General features: G+C 38.5%; 1 protein-coding gene and 1 long non-coding RNA gene across 10 annotated transcripts in view, besides 1 other annotated feature; one reads left to right on the top strand and one right to left on the bottom strand.

The window, feature by feature from the left end:
* Window positions 1-17286, bottom strand: part of FBXO38 (F-box protein 38) — a 58879-nt gene extending 41593 nt beyond the window's left edge. For 6 of the 9 annotated variants that reach the window (NM_205836.3, XM_006714797.3, NM_030793.5 and 3 more), the window contains exons 1-3: window positions 17205-17286; window positions 6340-6530; window positions 2112-2245 (exon numbers count right to left, since the gene is read on the bottom strand). In NM_205836.3, coding sequence (NP_995308.1) covers window positions 2112-2245; window positions 6340-6467 — 262 coding nt within the window. In that variant the 5' untranslated portion in view covers window positions 6468-6530; window positions 17205-17286. Of the gene's footprint in view, window positions 1-2111; window positions 2246-6339; window positions 6531-16137 lie in introns of all 9 variants that reach the window. The other 3 variants (XM_024446223.2, XM_047417784.1, XM_047417786.1) reach the window with 1 other exon arrangement.
* Window positions 17310-17509: an enhancer, noted in NCBI's record as "active region_23363". NCBI's record gives its function as "activates an Ori minimal core promoter by ATAC-STARR-seq in GM12878 lymphoblastoid cells {active_cell/tissue: GM12878}" and the evidence as "EXISTENCE:reporter gene assay evidence [ECO:0000049][PMID:35858748]".
* The window catches only part of FBXO38-DT (FBXO38 divergent transcript), a 115544-nt gene continuing 114619 nt past the window's right edge, over window positions 17394-18318 (top strand). The window contains exon 1 of the long non-coding RNA NR_105057.1: window positions 17394-17745. This is a non-coding gene — a long non-coding RNA (FBXO38 divergent transcript). The remainder of the gene's footprint in view (window positions 17746-18318) is intronic.

Here is an 18318-nt window from a genome sequence, read left to right as displayed (position 1 = left end):
TGGGGAGACAAGTCTCATATAGATCCTATTTTAATCTGTTACAAGGGCTTTTTTATTTTTAATGAAAGTGGTCAGAAAGCCAACTGTCTGCTTATTAATGACAAAGAAAAACATTAACTGTCAAGAACAAAAAGTAGGCCCCAAATATTTAAGTCTTACATACTTTTTTGAAAGTTGTTTTATTTTTAAGTTATCTCATTTAACATGTAAAGTCCAGACATGCTAACTTTAGTGAAGAGTAAGGAGAGACCAGAGATTACTTGGTCTCTAATTATAATAACAGTTCTTATTACTTTCTTGTATAGTAACTTTTAATGACTGAACGATTCAATGTGTTAATCATTTTTTTTCATTTATTCTCACAACCAAATCAGAAAGGTTATCACCCCATATACAAGCATAAAAAATGAAGTTGAGAGAGTTTAAGAGCTTCCAAATGGCAGTGCTGGAATCTAAAACCAAGTGTAACCCCTGCAATGTTTATCCTCTTTTGTCATACATGTTGCCTCCCACGAGAGAAATGGGGAAAGTTCTATCTTCTTTACAGAGATGGAGTGAGAATCCAAAGAGATCATATACGTAAACCATAAAGTACTATTATATAAAGGATCTGAGTTAAATGCCAGATAATAGGCCAAGGTGGCATTAGTGAGCAAGGTTAGTGTGATCTTATCCTAGGCTAGAGACTGTTTGCTTCAACTCTCTTTTACATTCATTGCAAAGATGGGAAGCCTTGGGCTCACAGGTTATTTATCATAGCCTAAAAGTCAGCAACATGCAGTCAAATTCTTCTCTAATTGGTAAGTGGTAGTGATGTTAATGGTAAGACTATATCACATGGGAGTTCTGCCATCCTGTCTTTATATACTGTGTTAATCCCGTCTTCAGAATTCCAGCTGGCCTAACCTTTGCAAAAGTAAATCTAATATAAGGAATAAGACAATCATTTTCACACTGCCCTAATTTTTTTTCTTTCCTGACATACAGGATCATTCTGAAACAAGATGAGATGAGGCTTTTGCCCTTAGAATGGCTTTTATTAAATATCTGAAAGTAACCGTGGTTTGCCTCCCACAAACCTATTAATAAGCTCCAGCCTCAGGTGTTTGCAATGTTCTTTATAAGAAAGTATATATTGATAACTACTATGGCCAGCTGATAAGAGTTACCAACTGATTTGATGACTCTCTTGAAAGGATGCAGCATCCACCTGCACAATTCCAGTATTCCAGAGCTAATCTGTTCTGTTCTATAGAACAGAACAAGACAATTATCTCCTCCAGCCCTTCACTTCTATTAAGGCTTTTTTTTTTATTTTTATTTTTTGGTTCCCCTCTCAGCCTTATCCCATTTTCGAAGTCTCATAATCTGGACATCATAGAAAAAGGATGACTTTAAAAGACAGATTCATAATTGCAAAACAATAGTAACTAAATTTTACCAATTAATGGATTGGCGTTAAGTGAAAAGAAGCCTTAATTGCCTTTTATTTTAACTCTTTCAAGTATGCTTTGCTTAGCTAAAGCCATTAACTTTCTTTTCAGGTGGTCTCTTCAACTGGGAACAATTTGCTGTGGTTAGGAAGCTACTGAGTTCTTCACCTGTAAGGTCAGTCAGTGGCTTATTCGAGAATCTCCAAGACCTACTATAGGTCTTCTAAAGAAATTGGAGTTCTGTGGCCTATTCTACAAAAATGGCAAGTATTTATTTAACTAAAGGGTGCAGTTTAGTTGCAGAGGAAATCTATGATGAAAACTGTTACCATTCACCGGAAAACATGCATCAGACAGTAAAGGACACACAGTGTCTAATGTGATACACATATACTCAATTAACCAAAGGCTCATGTTCTCCAATCACAGATGTGTGGAACAGGCTGATATAGTTACTTAAGGACAGGAAATGAAAAGAGCAGACTATTAAAACAATAAAGCCTCAGGTAAAACGCATTTTACAACCTAAAACCCAACATAAATAATTTAGACAAAATCTTGCCAGCCTACAAGGTGACTTAGATTGCCTTTCTCAAGACAACAAGTAACTTTTTATGAAACCATTGTTACTACTTTCCAGTAGGACACTACTGTACTTCACAGACTAAATCCACTTACCACTTGGCATGTATTCCCACCACCGCCCTGCACAGAGATCTACAACTCTCACAACTCGCAGATATAGGGTCACTGCTTCCTTTAGCTTCCGGGAAAGACATTCCATACACATGATATCCTGCAGAGGGAGGTACCTTTGTGAGAGAAAGAAACTCGTATTTATCAAGTGGATAAGTATTACTTCTCACCAGTAAGTTATTTTTTTTTCCTTCTTCCAATCTCCTACCACTCAAATGAAATAAGATCTTAAGACAGAGATTTAAAGCTACCACACATACGGTCATACAGCTTTTTACTACAAAGGTAAGTCAGCAAATAGTTGAGTATCCAAATAAGGTATTGAGCTCCCTCCACAGGTCATTTGATAAAACCTGCCTTTCTTCTTTTGAGTTTTCATGGACAAAGAAAATCTAAAAACAAACCAGAAAAACAAAGAAAAGAAGAAAAAAAAAAAAACAGTGCTTTTCAAGATGTGATGAGAAAGGAACCTGAGAAAGATCAGAGAGAATTACTCAATTTGAACATGCACAATATTATTTCGTATCTTTTACAGAATCTACTCCTGCAGGGACATTCTGCTCCCTCTCAACTCCACCATCCTGCTCCTGCAAACTCTACTATCTTCTCCATCAACAAATATGTATACTAGTCATATAGTACACAATTTCTTTTCCCATTTTTTTTTTTTTTTTAACCTTTAAGGTCACATACACTGATAAAAGTATTGCGTAAAGTATTAAGACACCTCATGTGAATTACAACTTCCTCTTTTCCATTCTTCTTTATTATCTTTTCCTGAAACTTTCAATTAATCCTGACTTTTGTTCTGTTATATATTCTGAAAGGTCTATTTTTCTCTTAAGACCCCTCCACACATGCCTAGATTAATTAAATGTTTTGAAAAGTTAAAGCTACCTTTACCTACTGAACCTGTATTGCGTCACATTCTACTCATTGTTTCACAACAACCTTAAGAGGTAACTAGCTGGTTCCTGTTTGGCATACAACTCTCTCCCAGTCCTTTATCTCCCCCTCTCTGACCTGCTGTGTTCCCTACCCCTCTCTGGCTGTTAACTTTAGCCAATGAGATGCACCAGCTGGAGGGCTCCAGGTGGCAATGCTGCCTTTCTACTGCTGCTAATCCCCTAGACAAATTCTTCATCATCCCTTACTTGTTCCCTAAACTCCATCTACATCTCTGTAAATAGTCCCTTCATTAAATTATCTTCAAATTCCAGGTAAGTGTATTTTCTGTTATCTGCTGGCACTTCACTGACATAGTATACACTATTATTACTCCATTTTATAAGTGCTGAAATTAGCTCAGAAGAATTAAACCTGCAAAATGTCACATGGCTAGGTAAGAGGGAGAAAGGGTCAGGAATGGCAAACACAGTTTTGTCTGACACTAACTCTTAACAACACTGCTAATTCTAAAAGAAAAGTCCACATATACCTGTTGAATATTTAGCAGATCCATTTATTTTTTCTACTTCTCGTCCCTCTTCTTACCCCTTTAAAATGATTTAAATCAAATATTATACAAAATAAATCATCACTGCTAGCCATAACTTAATTTACTCTATAACTTAGATTATAAGCAGAATTTTTCAGAAACATGACAACACATTTTATAAACAATGAAAAACATTAAATTTGCTTTCTAAATAAATTTTGCCACTGTAATATTTTTCTCCTAAATATTGTTATCCAATGTATTTGCCTAGGTTAAAATTCTACTCCCTTTAAATACAAACAGACCAATAATCACAAAATCAAGATTATTTTACATCATATTTTCCCTAAGAAGTAGCATATTTTTTCTTCATAGTTATATAGTCAAAGGACTAGAGTTCAGAAGACAGATCAAATATAACACTTTAGAAAAGAGAGCATAGCAGGGACAGCAAAGATTAGGTTTCTTTTAAGGAAGGCCATAGTTTTTCTTGTTTTATGAAGACATGCTATGTAGTTACTACACCACCACAATGAATCCTCAAATCAAAATTTTAGAAGACTAAAAAATGAAACAAAATTGTTTGTTTTTAGAATAAACACATGAAGTTCAAGAACTAAGTTCATGGTTCTTTCTACGTGCTGTCAAATGCTGTTTTCTCCACTGTAACTACCATTATATATTGACTTGATTCTACCCTTTCCATTTGAATATTCTGTTTGAACTGCACAATGTTATATGATCTATTTTCAATTTAGATTATGGTCCAATGGCCAGGTGTGGTGGTGTATGCATGTAATTCCAGCACTTTGGGAGGCCAAAATGGGAGGATTGCTTGAGGCCAGAAGTTAAGACCAATCTAGCCAACAAATCAAGATCCTGCCTCTACCAAAAAATGAAAAAATTAGCCAAGCGCAGTGGTGTGCGCCCCTAAGGCAAAAGGATTGCTTAAGCCCAGGAGTTCAAGGTTGCAGTGAGCCATGGTCATACCCTGCACTCCAGCCAGAGTGAGACTCTGTCTCAAAAATATATACATATTATATATTGTCCAATTTTTTCACAATATATCCTAGCATTATCCAACTTTATCCCTAGATGCAATTTTACCTATGTGTTCTTAAAGAATTTTGAAGGATTTGTTTAATTCACTGACCCATTTTGAATTTAGCTGTAAGACATGAGATAAAAATGTGCTTTTATTTTTTTCTCCAAATGGTTTGTAGGTTGAGACATCATTGCTGAATAGTCCACCCAACTTTTCCTCACTGATGTGAATACAACCTTGTCATAAACTAGATCTCCACATGTATTTGAATGGAGCCTATGTTTGTCTCCTTTACCCAACTGTCCAGCTTTCTTTTCCAAAACATTTTAGAATGTAATTGAACATCTGGTAGTTGCAAGACTCTTTTTCTGAAAATTTTTGGCTATTCTGACAGACTTTTTTTCTGCCAGATGAACGTTAATATCATTTTGTTCTGTAAAAAAAAAATCTATCATTTTAATTTGGTCTTCTAATCCCAGACAGAACTGAACTAGCAAAAACTACAATGTGTCACAGAATAACGAACTGCAGGAAATAATGACATACACATTTATATTAGAAAAAAAAATACAGTGCTTAGGATCTCCTAAAATAACTGTTATTGCTATTTTAAAACTTCATAATCTGCAAATATTCATTTGTAGAAATTCAAAACATTCCTAAGAACTTCATATATGGAAATTTTTCATAGGTAAACTACCTAAAATAATGGAAAATCCAGATGCTTAGAGAAGTTTATTGCAACCATAATTGCAGAAAACAGAAAAACTGAAAACTATCTAGATGTCAGACAAGGGAAATGATAAGTACCATGTTATTTATACATTCCATAGAATAGTAAGCAGTAAAAAAAAAATTATGAAGACCATGTAGCAATATGAAAAAAAGCAGAATAACCATTAACATTTACCAAGCATTTATGCTTCAGTTTGCTAAGTGTTTAATGCATTATCTCACTGAATCCTAATAATATTGCTATTATGTCTATCATTAGTCTAGAGCTAGCAAATAATAGACCCAGGATTCAAACTCAGGTCTCTAATTTCAGAGACAAAGTATGTTAGAATTTGCTTATTTGAATTATATAAATAAGGACAATAATTGAAAGAAGAGAGCAGTGGAAACTAGAATGACAGCTTTCCCTTTAAAAAAAAAAAAACAGTTGTTATAATGCGGTTTGGGTAAAAATATAATTTTTTTAGAAGTCTTTTTGTGTTGTGTTCATCATAAAACAACTTTAATGTATGCACTGCATTTAGTTATGATGGGTATTATCTCAGAAAACTTAGTTACAATCACTTACATGTTATGTTTCTCACTGTGGGTTGTAGTCAGAAAAAGTCAGAAACACTGCCTTATATTGTGCAGTGTAAACACACAGTACTGTTATAATGCAGTAACAAAAGTCAACAAATCTATTAGCCAATAAAAATCCCAAGAAGCCTAGAAATGTTAACAGTCTAGAGAAAGGCTGTCCAACAGAACTATATGTGACAAAAGAAATATTTTGTCTATACTCTGTTGTCCTATACACCGTGTCCACTAGCCACATATGGCTACTAAGCACTTGAAATGTAGCCAGTGCAACTGACGAACTAAATTTTACATTTTTACTTAATTGAAATGTAAATGCTGCATGTAGCTGGTAGCTACCACATTAGACAGCACTGCCTCAGGGTTTGCTCTTATCCATTCCAGGCAGGTAAGCCAACCAAACACAATCTTACCTAAAAATATGGCAAAGTACTTCATGTGAAAGTTGATTCATATAGTCCTTTGTTTCATCTGCTGTCATTTCTTCTGGAATTTCATTATTCATGATACATGTTTTCACACTTTTCTTTCGTGGCCCCATTGTTGTGCAGTCTCCAGTATCAACGAGAAAATCTTCCCTTTTGTTTACTTGAGTTCAAAGTACCTGAAAAGCAAACAGAACGAAGTAGACTAAAAAAACACACCCCCTACTAAAACCCAGGTTAAACAATGTTTATTTTCAAACACACACAAGCAGAGGTATCATAATGGTACACATCACATTCAAATTAATAAAAATATTAATTTGTTCTGTGCAAAAAGCACAGAACATCTTTTTCTCAAGATGAGTGGATAATCAACTTCTGAAGATAATATAAATATGCATTACTTAGAAAGAGCAAAAATCCAGGAATCATGAGTATTGTGCTTTAATTTGTACTGTTGCTTCTTAGCTTATTCACTCAATTTCTCCAAGTATCAATTTCTTCATATGTAACGTGTGATCATTAAATGAGGAATCAAAACCTCTTCCAGCTCCAGGAGCTTGTGGTTCTTTCTAGGACTGACCCTAACATAGTGGAAAGGAGAAGAGATTCTTGGGTTCTAATCTTGATTCTGCCCCAAATTATTTCTATAAACTTGCATCAATCTTTAAAATTCTTCATTCTCTCACCTATAAAGTCAGAGATTAGATTAGTCATGGACCCCTTTGTGAATCTGATAAAAACTAGAGAACTCCTAAAAAATAAACACAAGCTTATATACAACTTCAGAGAAAGAATGAAACATCCCTTCTCCCTCTCTTGTGAATATTGACATGGTATTTCACTTTTGCATCACATGCATATTTTGTTTTTAAAATAAGCTTTAGAGAAGGATGAAAAGAGAAAGAAAAGAGGGGAGAGAGGAGGAATGGAGAGGGAAAGCAGGGAGAAAATGGGTTGCATGAGCACCCAGATGGTTTTCTGTTCTATTGATCAGCATGTGGAGTTAACACCTTGATTGTCAAATTGTCTAGGAATATTTTAATAATGTTGGTACAGATATAGGGAAGTTTATAGGAAATATTGGTCTCTTTTATATTAATGGCTTTGTAGATGGAGGAGGCACAGGATGACAGCTGAAAAGAGGTGCATTCAGATTCATTTAAATATGCCTTGGCACATTTATTTTGAATACCACTTATGTACTCTGGGCCCATTGTAAACAAACGGCCCAGAGTTAAGTGGAGATACACAATTAAATAACCACGCAAATGAGCTCAGAATTGCACACGGAGATAACTGCTGCAAAGACAGTAAACACAGTTGTGAAGCCTCATATAACAAAGGGGCCTGAGTCACTAATGGTTCTCCTGAGGGAAAGACAATTGAGCCCATAACTGAAGGGAGAGCAGGAATTAACACTGCAAAAAGTAGGAAAGAACTCACTAGGAGAAAGGCACCTGGTGGGCAGAGGGTACTTTAAGTATATGCAGTTCCTGAGGTTTTTTTTGCCTCAGCAGTAAATGGACACTCTACTAGGCTAAGTAAATCTTCATCATTTCTTCTGCCTGTGTGTGTGTGTTCTGGTCTCTTCTTCCCTCACTGAAAGGTTATGTGCTATTTACTTCTTGAGGCTGTCAGCATGCTTGCCTCTCATCACACACACACACACACACACACACACACACACACACACACACACACCCCTCTTCTGTTGTTTCTAACCAGTACGGCCTGAGAAACCAGAGAAATCAATGTGTGTGGACTGGTATATGGGCTATGCTACCCTGAATTTGTGACATGTGTCTTAACTTCTCAGAAGCTTACTCCTATGTTGTCTATCACATTTTGGCTAAGAGGCCTCCGGAAAAATAAAGTTCATACTCAGAACTGCCCAAGCTAAAAGAAAAGCTATAAATAAACTCACCTGCTTCTGATTAACCACTGCCCACCTTTTCTTGTTTACTGCCCTGCCTCCTCCAAATGAATCTTTCCATCTTATGATAGCTCCTGAAACCTCTAAGGTTACATTGAACATGTAGTCAACAAATCCAATAGCCTCTTTCCAGTGCTTCCCCATCTGACCCATTTGTATTATGGGACACCGCTGACCACTCCTTTGAAACCCTCTCATCCTTTGGCTCCGAAAGTGATATTCTCGATTCTTGTCGTTCCTCTATGACCACTGCTCAGTCTCCTTTGCTAATTTATCCTCGAGCCCTCTTCTCCCTGGGCAATTGTACTCATTCCCAAGGATTTAGCTATTACAAATACACACACACACACACACACACACACACACACACACACAAAGAAAAGCAAAAAAAGAAAAAATTTCCAACTCTACTTCTTACCTCTCCTGAGCTCTGAACTTTATTTCCTCTGCCTATCAGAAATTTTCACCTCAATAACTTGAACATCCTTCAAAAACACTATGTTCAAAATGAACTCCTTCATATCACGAACCCTCCCCCTCCCCAAAACAAAGATACACAGATATATACAAATAAACACACCTATTTCCCTAATGTGTTTTACTGAATTCCTGAATTGTAAACCTTGAAATCATCCTAAATATATTCTGATTTCTCATTTCCCACAGACAATTGATGGGCTATTTTTATCAATTTTATCTCAATACAGTTCTTACATCCATTCCCATTACCTTTTGGGACTCCATTAACATTCACGTGCACTACGGAAATGGCTTCCTAAATGATACCCATCACTGTATCCTCAGGGTCGAGGAAAAGCTTAGCAGACACTATGCCTGCCATAAGTAATTTATTGAATAAATGCTTACCATGCTATACTCTATACTGAAGCCAGTTATCTTTTTAAAACAGTCTCCTGATTTATAGTGTTAAGTGAAAAAAGCAAAACACAGACTACATCTAAAGTATGATTCTAACAACAACATAATTTTAAAAATTAAAAAGATTACCCCCTAAAACTTTTTTTAAAAAGTATGATAAAAAAGACAAATATACTGTGTCTGCATACAACATTTTATGAAAGAAGACAACAAAATATTAACCGGTAACCTTTGAGGAGTGATAACAGAGGTTTAGGAAAGCAGAAAAAAACTTTTACTTTTCACTTCATATTATTCTCCATCATTTGAAATTTTCAGATTGTTTTTAAGAAGTACAATATACATGGCCAAGCAAAACAAAACAATCGGCCTACAAGGAATCCTGGTTCAGAGGATAAAATATTTCCAATCTAATCTCAAAACACCAGATGTTCCAATCTTATCTTCTTCCAATCCTTACCACTTGCTCTCAGTATACTCACTCTAGCAGACCAGTATCTTCTTAGTTCCCCCAAACAACCATTGGTGTTTCATTCCTAATATGCTTTTAACTCTGACTGGAAATGTCCTTCTTTTCCCTACTTTGCCTAGAAAACTGCCTGTAAAAATCTAGCTTAAATGTAAGTCCTCTGTAAAAGCTTCCCCTACTGACTCCTTCATTTGAGCTCCCTGTGGGACTTAACATATGCTTCCACAGCAGTTTGTGTAGTGATTTATTAGTCATGTTTCTGCTAAAAAATCTTGCCTCTAGGTGACAACAAGTCCTTGCTCACAATATATCCTCAAATATCTAATGTATGAATATCCACCAGTCTTTCCATTATTCTATATACATCCAGTAGCTTCGAGGCTGCTGCTAAAAACCATTTCATGCTCTTATGAGACGTTTGCTACCACAGCATTCAATGATCTCAGCAACAAACTTATAACCTAGACAATAATGCAATCAGATTTTACTGCAGTGACACACCTAACAGCTACTCTGTAGCATGTAAAAGCCTCAACAGGACGATTAACCAGCAAAGACTAATCCACCCACAAATTACCTAGATGCTCAGACCAATCCACCAGTTGTTATACTTTAGCACATGTTCAGCTTTAAGAATCTTGACAATCCTTCATCGAGATGATGCTCGATTCTTTATTCCTTTAATAAAAAGCTTTTTTTTAATCCCTTCTTCCTCCTTTTTCTTCCTCAAATTCACACCACCTAATAACACCTTCCTCTACTGATTCCACCTTTGATTGTTCCTTAGGATTCTGCAATGTGGTGCTTTTGTGTGAATTAGATTTAGTAGCCCTAGTGCACAAACTATACGTAAATTTTTAGACTAAATACCCTGCACCTTAAATATCATTGAGTTTATAAAACTCCACTTATTGAGAGTTAACAAATATTTACTCACAGAAATGATGTTATACAATATTATACTGAGGTTAGATCTCCAGGAAGCTGACAAAAACCTTCTTAACCTACAATATCCTTTAACACTAACTAGCAAAAAGCCTAAATTTTAAATTAGCAGGACTGACAAAATTTTAGGTAAAACTATTCCTGTTTCTTACATCACGGCTAGAATTGAAGACTTGGGTCTTTTAGTTCTTACCAGGCAGGTGAATAGTGAGGCCCCTACCCTAAGCCTATCGTGGGGAAGGAACTTGTGGAGATAAACACTAGGGTAAAAGAAAACATCTCTATCTTATATATAGGAGATTGACAGGACTTATAGCCTGGAGAAATCTAGCAGCCTTCTCAAGTCCAAGTAGATGTCTCTGAAAATGTTCAGGAGATAAAAAGCTTCCTCGGTCAAAAAATATTTTATTTTCCCCCACCCTTACTCAGTCTTGATAAAGGACAACAAAGTTGCTTCAGCTAAAGTTGGCTTCATCTTCATTTAAGTGAAATACCCAGCTGGGCTATGCTGAGTATTTCATCTCAGGTACTGATGAATAGGGACCTGGTTTCCCTATATGAGAAAGAACACTTGAAATTCACACACCACAAGTCCCAAGTAAGTGGTGATGGTACCTTTTTTTTTTTTTTTCTTTAAGACAGAGTCTCGCTGTGTTGCCCAGGCTGGAGTGCAATGGCGCGATCTTGGCTCACTGCAACTTCTGCCTCCTGGGTTGAAGAAATTCTCCCACCTCAGCCTCCCGAGTAACTGGGACTACAGGCGTATGCCACCACACCCGGCTAATTTTTGTATTTTTAGTAGAGACGGCATTTCACCATGTTGGCCAGACTGCTATCGAACTCCTGACCTCAAGTGACCCACCCGTCTCAGCCTCCCAAAGTGCTGGGATTACAGGCGTGAGCCACCACGCCCGGCCGGTATCCCTTTTTAATGTGCACCCTTTCTCTTATTTGCTTTTCTTTTTAGTTGGAAGAGGAACCAAAGAAAGTGAGGAGAAAACTGCCATCACTAGCCTTGTGTTTTTTTCTCACTCCTACCTCCAAAATACCACTTGCCACTAAACACCCTGCCTTCAACTCACTTGAGAAACTCAGTAATGCAGAGAACGTACAAAGCAGTAGTAGGTTAAAAAAGAAAGAGTAAAGGAGGGGAAAGTCCAGTTATCGGCATTAGAGAAAGATGACTTGGAGGAAGTCTTGCTGAGAAGTCATGGAGCATGAGGGACAGGTGAATACAGGTATACCTTAATTGTGATTCACTTTACTGTGCTTCAAAGATAATGTGTCTTTCACAAATTGAAGGTCTGTGGCAACACTGCGTCAGGCAAGTTTATTGGTGCCCTTTTTCCAGCAGCACATGCTCACTTCATGTCTGTGTGTCACATTTTGGTAATTCTCACAATATTTCATATCCTTTCATTATTATTATATGTGTTACGGTGATCTATGATCAGTGATTTTTGATGTTACTACTTTAATTGTTTTGGAGGTACCACAAACCATGCTGTATAAGATGGCAAACTTGATTGATAAATATGGTGTCGTTCTAACTGCTCCACTGGCTAGCTGTTCTTCCTATCTCTGTCCCTCTCCTTAGGCCTCCCTATTTCCTGAGACACAATGATATTTAAATTAGACCAATTAAGAACTCTACAACGGCCTCTAAGTGTTCAAGTGAAAGGAAGAGTTGAGCATCTCTCACTTTAAATCAAAACCAAGAAATGACTAACCTTAGTGAGGAAGTCATGTTGAAAGCCAAGACAGACCAGAAGCTAGGCTTCTTGTGCCAAACATTAGCTAAGTTGTGAACACAAATAAAAAGTTCTTGAGAAAATTGTTACTCCAGTGAATAAACAAATGATAAGAAAGCAAGACAGCCTATTGCTGATATACACAAAGTCTGAGTTTTATGGACAGAAGTTCAAACCAGCCACATTCCCTAAGCCAAAGACTAATCCAGAGCAAGGCCCTAAGTCTCTGCAATTCTATGAAGGCCGAGAGAGGTGAGGAAGTTTTAGAAGAAAAGTTGAAAGCTAGCAGAGGGTGGTTCATGAGTTTATGGAAAGACGTTGTCTCCATAGCGGAAAAGCACAAGGTGAAGCAGCAAATGTTGATGGAGAAGCTGCAACAAGTTATCCAAAAGATCTAACTTAGATAACGGCTGAAAGTAGCTACACTACACAACAGATTTTCAGTACGTACAGCCTTCCATTGGAATAATATTCCATATCAGATTTTCACTGCTAGGGAGAAGTAAATGCCTAGCTTCAAAGGGCAGGCTGATTATCTTGTTAGAGAATGCAGCTGGTGACATGAAGTTGCAGCCAATGCTCACTAACCATTCTGAAAATCCTAGGGCCCTTCAGAATGATGCTAAATCTACTCTGCCTGTGCTCTATAAAAGGAACAACAAAGCCTGAAAGACAGCACATCTGTTTACAGTATAGTATACTAAATAAGACTTCTACTAAGATCTACTGCTCAGAAAAGTTTCCTTTTAAAATATTACTGTTCATTGACAATGGACCTAGTCATTCAAGAGGTCCATTAGATACACAAGGAGATTAATATTGTTTCCATGCCTGCTAACACAATATCCATTCTGCAGCTAATAGATCAACTAGATCAAGAACTTTCAACTTTCAAGTCATATTATTTAAGAAACAAATTTCCTGGCTGGACCCGGTGGCTCACACCTGTAATCCCAGCACTTTGGGAGGCCGAGGCAGGCAGATCACAAGGTCAGGAGCTCGAGACCAGTCTGGCCAACATAGTGAAACCCCATCTCTACTGAAAATACAAAAATTAGCTGGGTGTGGTGGCATGTGCCTGTAATCCCAGCCACCTGGGAGGCTGAGGCAGGAGAATTGCTTGAACCAGGGTGTCAGAGGTTGCAGTGAGCCAAGATCGTACGACTGCACTCGAGCCTGGTAACAGAGCTAGACTCCATCTCAAAAAAAAAAAAAAAAAAAAGAAATAAATTCCCTAAGGCTATAGCTGCCATAGACTGTGATTCCTCTGATGGATATGGGCAAACTAAATTCAAAACCTTCTGGAAAGGATACACATTCTAGAAGCTGTTAAGAACGTCTGTGATTCATGGGAGGAGGTCAAAATATCAACATTAACAAGAGTTTGGAATCCAGTCCTCATGGATGACTCTGAGGGATTCAAGACTTCTGTGGTTATAGGAGGAGCAGGATTGAAATAATAAACAACAAAAGACATCAGTGGAGGAAGTCGCTGCAGATGTGGAGGAAATAGCAAGAGAACTACAATCGGATGTAGAGCCTGAAGATGTGACTGAATTGCTGCAATCTCATGATAAAACTTGAACAGATGAGAAGTTGCTTCTTATAGATGAACAAAGAAAGTGGTTTGTTGAGATGAAATCTACTTCTGGTGAAGATGCTGTGAACATTATTGAAATGACAACAAAGGATTTAGAATACTACATAAACTCAGTTGATACGGCAGCACCAGGGTTTGAGAGAACTGAATGTAATTTTGAAAGAAGTTCTACTGTGAGTAAAATGCTATCATACATCGCATGTTACAACAAAATATTTCCTAGAAGGAAGAGCCAATCAATGAGGCAAACTTCACTGTTGTCCTAAGAAACTGCCAAGCCACCCCAATGTTCTGCAACCACCACCCTGATCAGTCAGCAGCCACCAAGACAGAGACAAGATCTTCCATTAACAAAAATATTATGACTCGCTGAAGGCTCAGATTAATTGTTAGCATTTTTTTTAAATTAAGTACTTTAAAATTATGGCGTATACATTACTTTAGATATAATGCTGTTGCACACTTGATAGATTATACTACATTGTAAAATATAACTTCTATATACACAGGGAAACCAAAAACTTTGTGACTTGCTTTATTGCAGTAGTCTGGAACCAAACCTGCAGTATCTCTGAGCTATGCCTGAATAAATAAGGAGGAGAGTATTATATATAAAGACTATACTTTGCGGTACCAGGTGTTACCTATAGGCTTAGCAACTTCTAGACCCTAAGACTCTGAACCTTAAGGAAATGTCAGAAATGACAGAATTACAGAATCCCAGAATGTTAAAAGTTGAAGAGGACCAGAGACACTACCTAATCACACAGTTCTCAATTTTTTGTGGGTCACAAACCCATCTGAGAATACGATGAAAGTGGCACATCCGTTTTCCAGACTCATGCAAGCAGAAATACATACACGATTTCAGGGGGTTCATATTCACAGACATCGAAGCTCATCTAGTGATCCCAAATTTTTAAGATGAACAAACAGAACCAGAGAGGATAAGGTGACAAATCACTTGCCCAAGATTAAATAGTGTCAAGGTTCAGGCTGGGATACAGACTTCCCAGGTTACAGTAAACATTCTATCATCAAGTCAGTCCTCTGTCACTGTGGTTGTCTTCCTGCATTCCAGAGCAATGCCCTAGTGCTTGGAGAAAGGCTTCTAGATGCTCTGATAGAACTGCATCTGACCACACCCTACCTTCACCAATTAGGATTTATGGTCCATTTAATTTAGGCTCCCATGCAGTGGTCTATGGCCACCTTTGGTATATTACAGTCACTCTGTGGCTGCCTGCTTAGCTGACCTTAGCCACAGGAAGCATTACTTTTGTCTTGGTGTTGCAAGCACATTCTTAAACCAGAGTTGTTTCCAAAAAGTGTTCTCCTATCTCGTCAATTCAAATCTCCTTCCCATCCCAAACTCAAATTACTTTTCTTTACCCTCGTGAAAAATACCCCCTCTCACTTGAAACTTCCCTATATTCTCAATGATCCTATCTGGTCAAGGGCTTCCCTGCCCTTCAAGTTTCTCATGCCTTTCTTTAGTTTCTATTGGTTTCAGCTTGCTCATATCAAAGTAATCTTGCATATCACTTAATTTGACCTCACAGACCTTAATTGACATCATAGACTATCTTGTGTATCTACTGACCAGGACAGCCTCTCTTGTCTAAAGAAATACCACACCACATAAACCAAACTGCTCAGATAAAAACCACACACAAACAAAACAAAACAAAAACCCCCCAACAGGATGATGGTGCTGAAAAAGGCCTAGGAATCATCCAGCTCAACCCTTCGTTTTACAGATAAGGAAAGTGAGGCCTAGAGATGTTAGATGGCTTGTCCAAAGTCACAGAGGCAGGATGTACCAGTGTGAAGCAGGGATACAGGTCTTCAACTCCTTTTTAATTTTATTTCACTATACCACCTTATTTCATTTTAGTATACCACCAATTTTACTTCACTATATCACCCTATCTTACTGGAATCTAGTTGTCCCTTTTTCTCCTCTGCTATGCATTAGTATCTGTTTGACTAAATATAAAGTGTGTACCTCTGGGCACACAGCCATTTAAACAAAGAGGCACACAAAACTCTACATTCTTTACCCAAGGAGGACATCAGAATTACAGCATCACATATTTTAAAGAGGGGAAAGAAGGCTTACAGATAATCTAAAATGTTAATTCTCAAAATGAAAGTTAAAAATTACAAGCGGATTTTTTTCAGTCTATGCCTATGTAATACATACCCTCCAGACTGGACCTCCTCCTTCCCTGGGAAAATCATGGCTTTATAGAACTATTATTTTATCCTTCACTTGTGCTGGGGGAATGGGAAAGGGGATTAAAAACCAGTGACCTAATCCAACGTCTTCCTTTAGCAGATAAAAAAATCTCAAGTTCAGAGAGAGGAAGGGATTTGGCCAAAGTAAACCATCAAGTTAATAGCAACTTTGGAACAAAAATCAAGGTCTCCTGTTTTTCACTTTGTAGTGATTTACACTGCTGGTTTAGGTGTATAAAACAAAGTTTTCTGGACAGAGCTTCTCATTGCACAGGAACCTTCCTAAGTGACCAGTTGCCCTTGGCCAGCTTGGTGTCTGCAAAGAAACACGGTAGACATCTCTTAGTCAAATTCTGGGTGTGCAGAGTGCAGGGAGAATATGCTTTTCAGGTCTGTAAAGACTCCATGAAAAGGGAGTTAAGAATCTGATTTCCACAGCTAGGGCACGGACATCAAAGGCATCCAACACAGATAAGCAAACTGCAGCACAGAAAAGCTAATGGACCTAGACAAGGTCACACGGTGTGTAGGTGGAAGGGGTGAAACTAGAATTCAGGGCTCCTGATACTCAGGCGTGGCAGCCAAAGATGTGTTCACTGCTTCCTGCTCAGGGACATCTCCTCACTACGCTGAACACAGACCTCCTTCACTTTACTGGCCGAAACACCGACTTAACATTAAAATCATGAAATTCGTGACGCCCGGGGTGGGAGACAGTCACAGAAGCTGTCCAGTCCAACACCCTCACCCATTTCATTGAGGAAACTGGGGCCCAGAGAGAGTTCTTTATGCTGGATTTTGGGGCCAGGTTCAGACAAGCAGGCAACCCCCGCAAGCACGGCCTAGAAGGCCAGGAACTACAAATTCAACCCCTGATCTCTCAAGGAGCTCTAGGCCCCAAGGGGGCCAGAGGCCGAGCTTAAGCGGTCGGAAGTTCCAGAATCCCCACCCAGCTACCTCAGCCCTGCCGCACGCACTCCGGGCTTTGCCACCCCGCTCCCGGTCCCCAGGCCCACTCAGCCGCCGCCTCACCTACGCCGACCCTCCGCCTGTTATTGTGGTTGAGAGGGAGGGACGCTACAGACACTTCCCCGGCCCCTACCGCTGAGGCACTTCCGCTTCCGCCGCCGCTCGCATATTTCCGGAGTGTTGTCATCCGGGGCTGGAGCCTCAAACCCGTGTCCATATTGTGTGTGTGAAGAAGCATCGAAGCGCGGCAGCCATGTTCAGCGTGGCATTTCGGAAGGCTTGTCAGGGGTGGAGAAGCGGGGCGGGTTGCTGTTCTTTCACCTGACACTAAAGCGCCATGCCGGAAGCACTGAGTCTGATACGTCGGAACCAGTCTCCACCGTGTGGTTTGGTCTTGATTTCCACTGGTACTCTGGGGTCTTGGATAAGTCTCTGGACCTCGCCTTTGTCATTTGCGAAGTCGATAGGTTCCAATAGAGATTTTCCCAGAATCATTCAACTAAAAATAGAGAACTTTTTTTTTTTGAGAGGAAGGACGGGGGCGCAGTTAAAGATGTTAATGTTAAGTCATCCCTTCTGTGATTTCGGGACATTATCTTTGCACGTAAGTAATAGTATTTTACAGTCCAAAGGAATTTCACATGAGTGTCATTAAAAACTCTACACGACTCTGACATGTAGGCAAGGATCAACTTAATCACCTTTTCTGTTGTTTAATGGATAAGGAATTGTCTTCAGAGAGTGTAATTGATTTTCACAATGTCTCGCAGATGGACTGAAATTCAGATTTTTACCTTTTACATCCTGTGTTCTTGCCCTAATATACATGTAATTAATATGGGCTAAAATCCCTAGATTTAAATAGATACAAATACTTCTTAGGAAAGTTAGTGTGCATTAAAGCCATGTGAGACACAATTTGACAAGACGTAGCATTGACTAGGCTATTCTGCTGGAGAAGAAAAAGCTGAAGAAGGCTTGGGAATCCCATTTCTTCTTATTCTTTTCTTGATTGATAGCAGACCTACTGGTTTTTCCCCTCTTTCCCCAATATGGTTCGGCACCTTAGGTTTCAGCTTGTCTTAGGCAGTCACAGTTTTAGCTATCCCATTCCGTATGTCAAACCATATATCTGTGTTTTTATTTGGAGCTCTGGTAGGACAAACAAAACAAAACC

The sequence above is a fragment of the Homo sapiens genome, chromosome 5 (genome assembly GCF_000001405.40).
Source record: "Homo sapiens chromosome 5, GRCh38.p14 Primary Assembly".
Lineage (NCBI taxonomy): Eukaryota > Metazoa > Chordata > Mammalia > Primates > Hominidae > Homo > Homo sapiens.
This window is presented reverse-complemented; position numbering and strand designations above follow the sequence as displayed.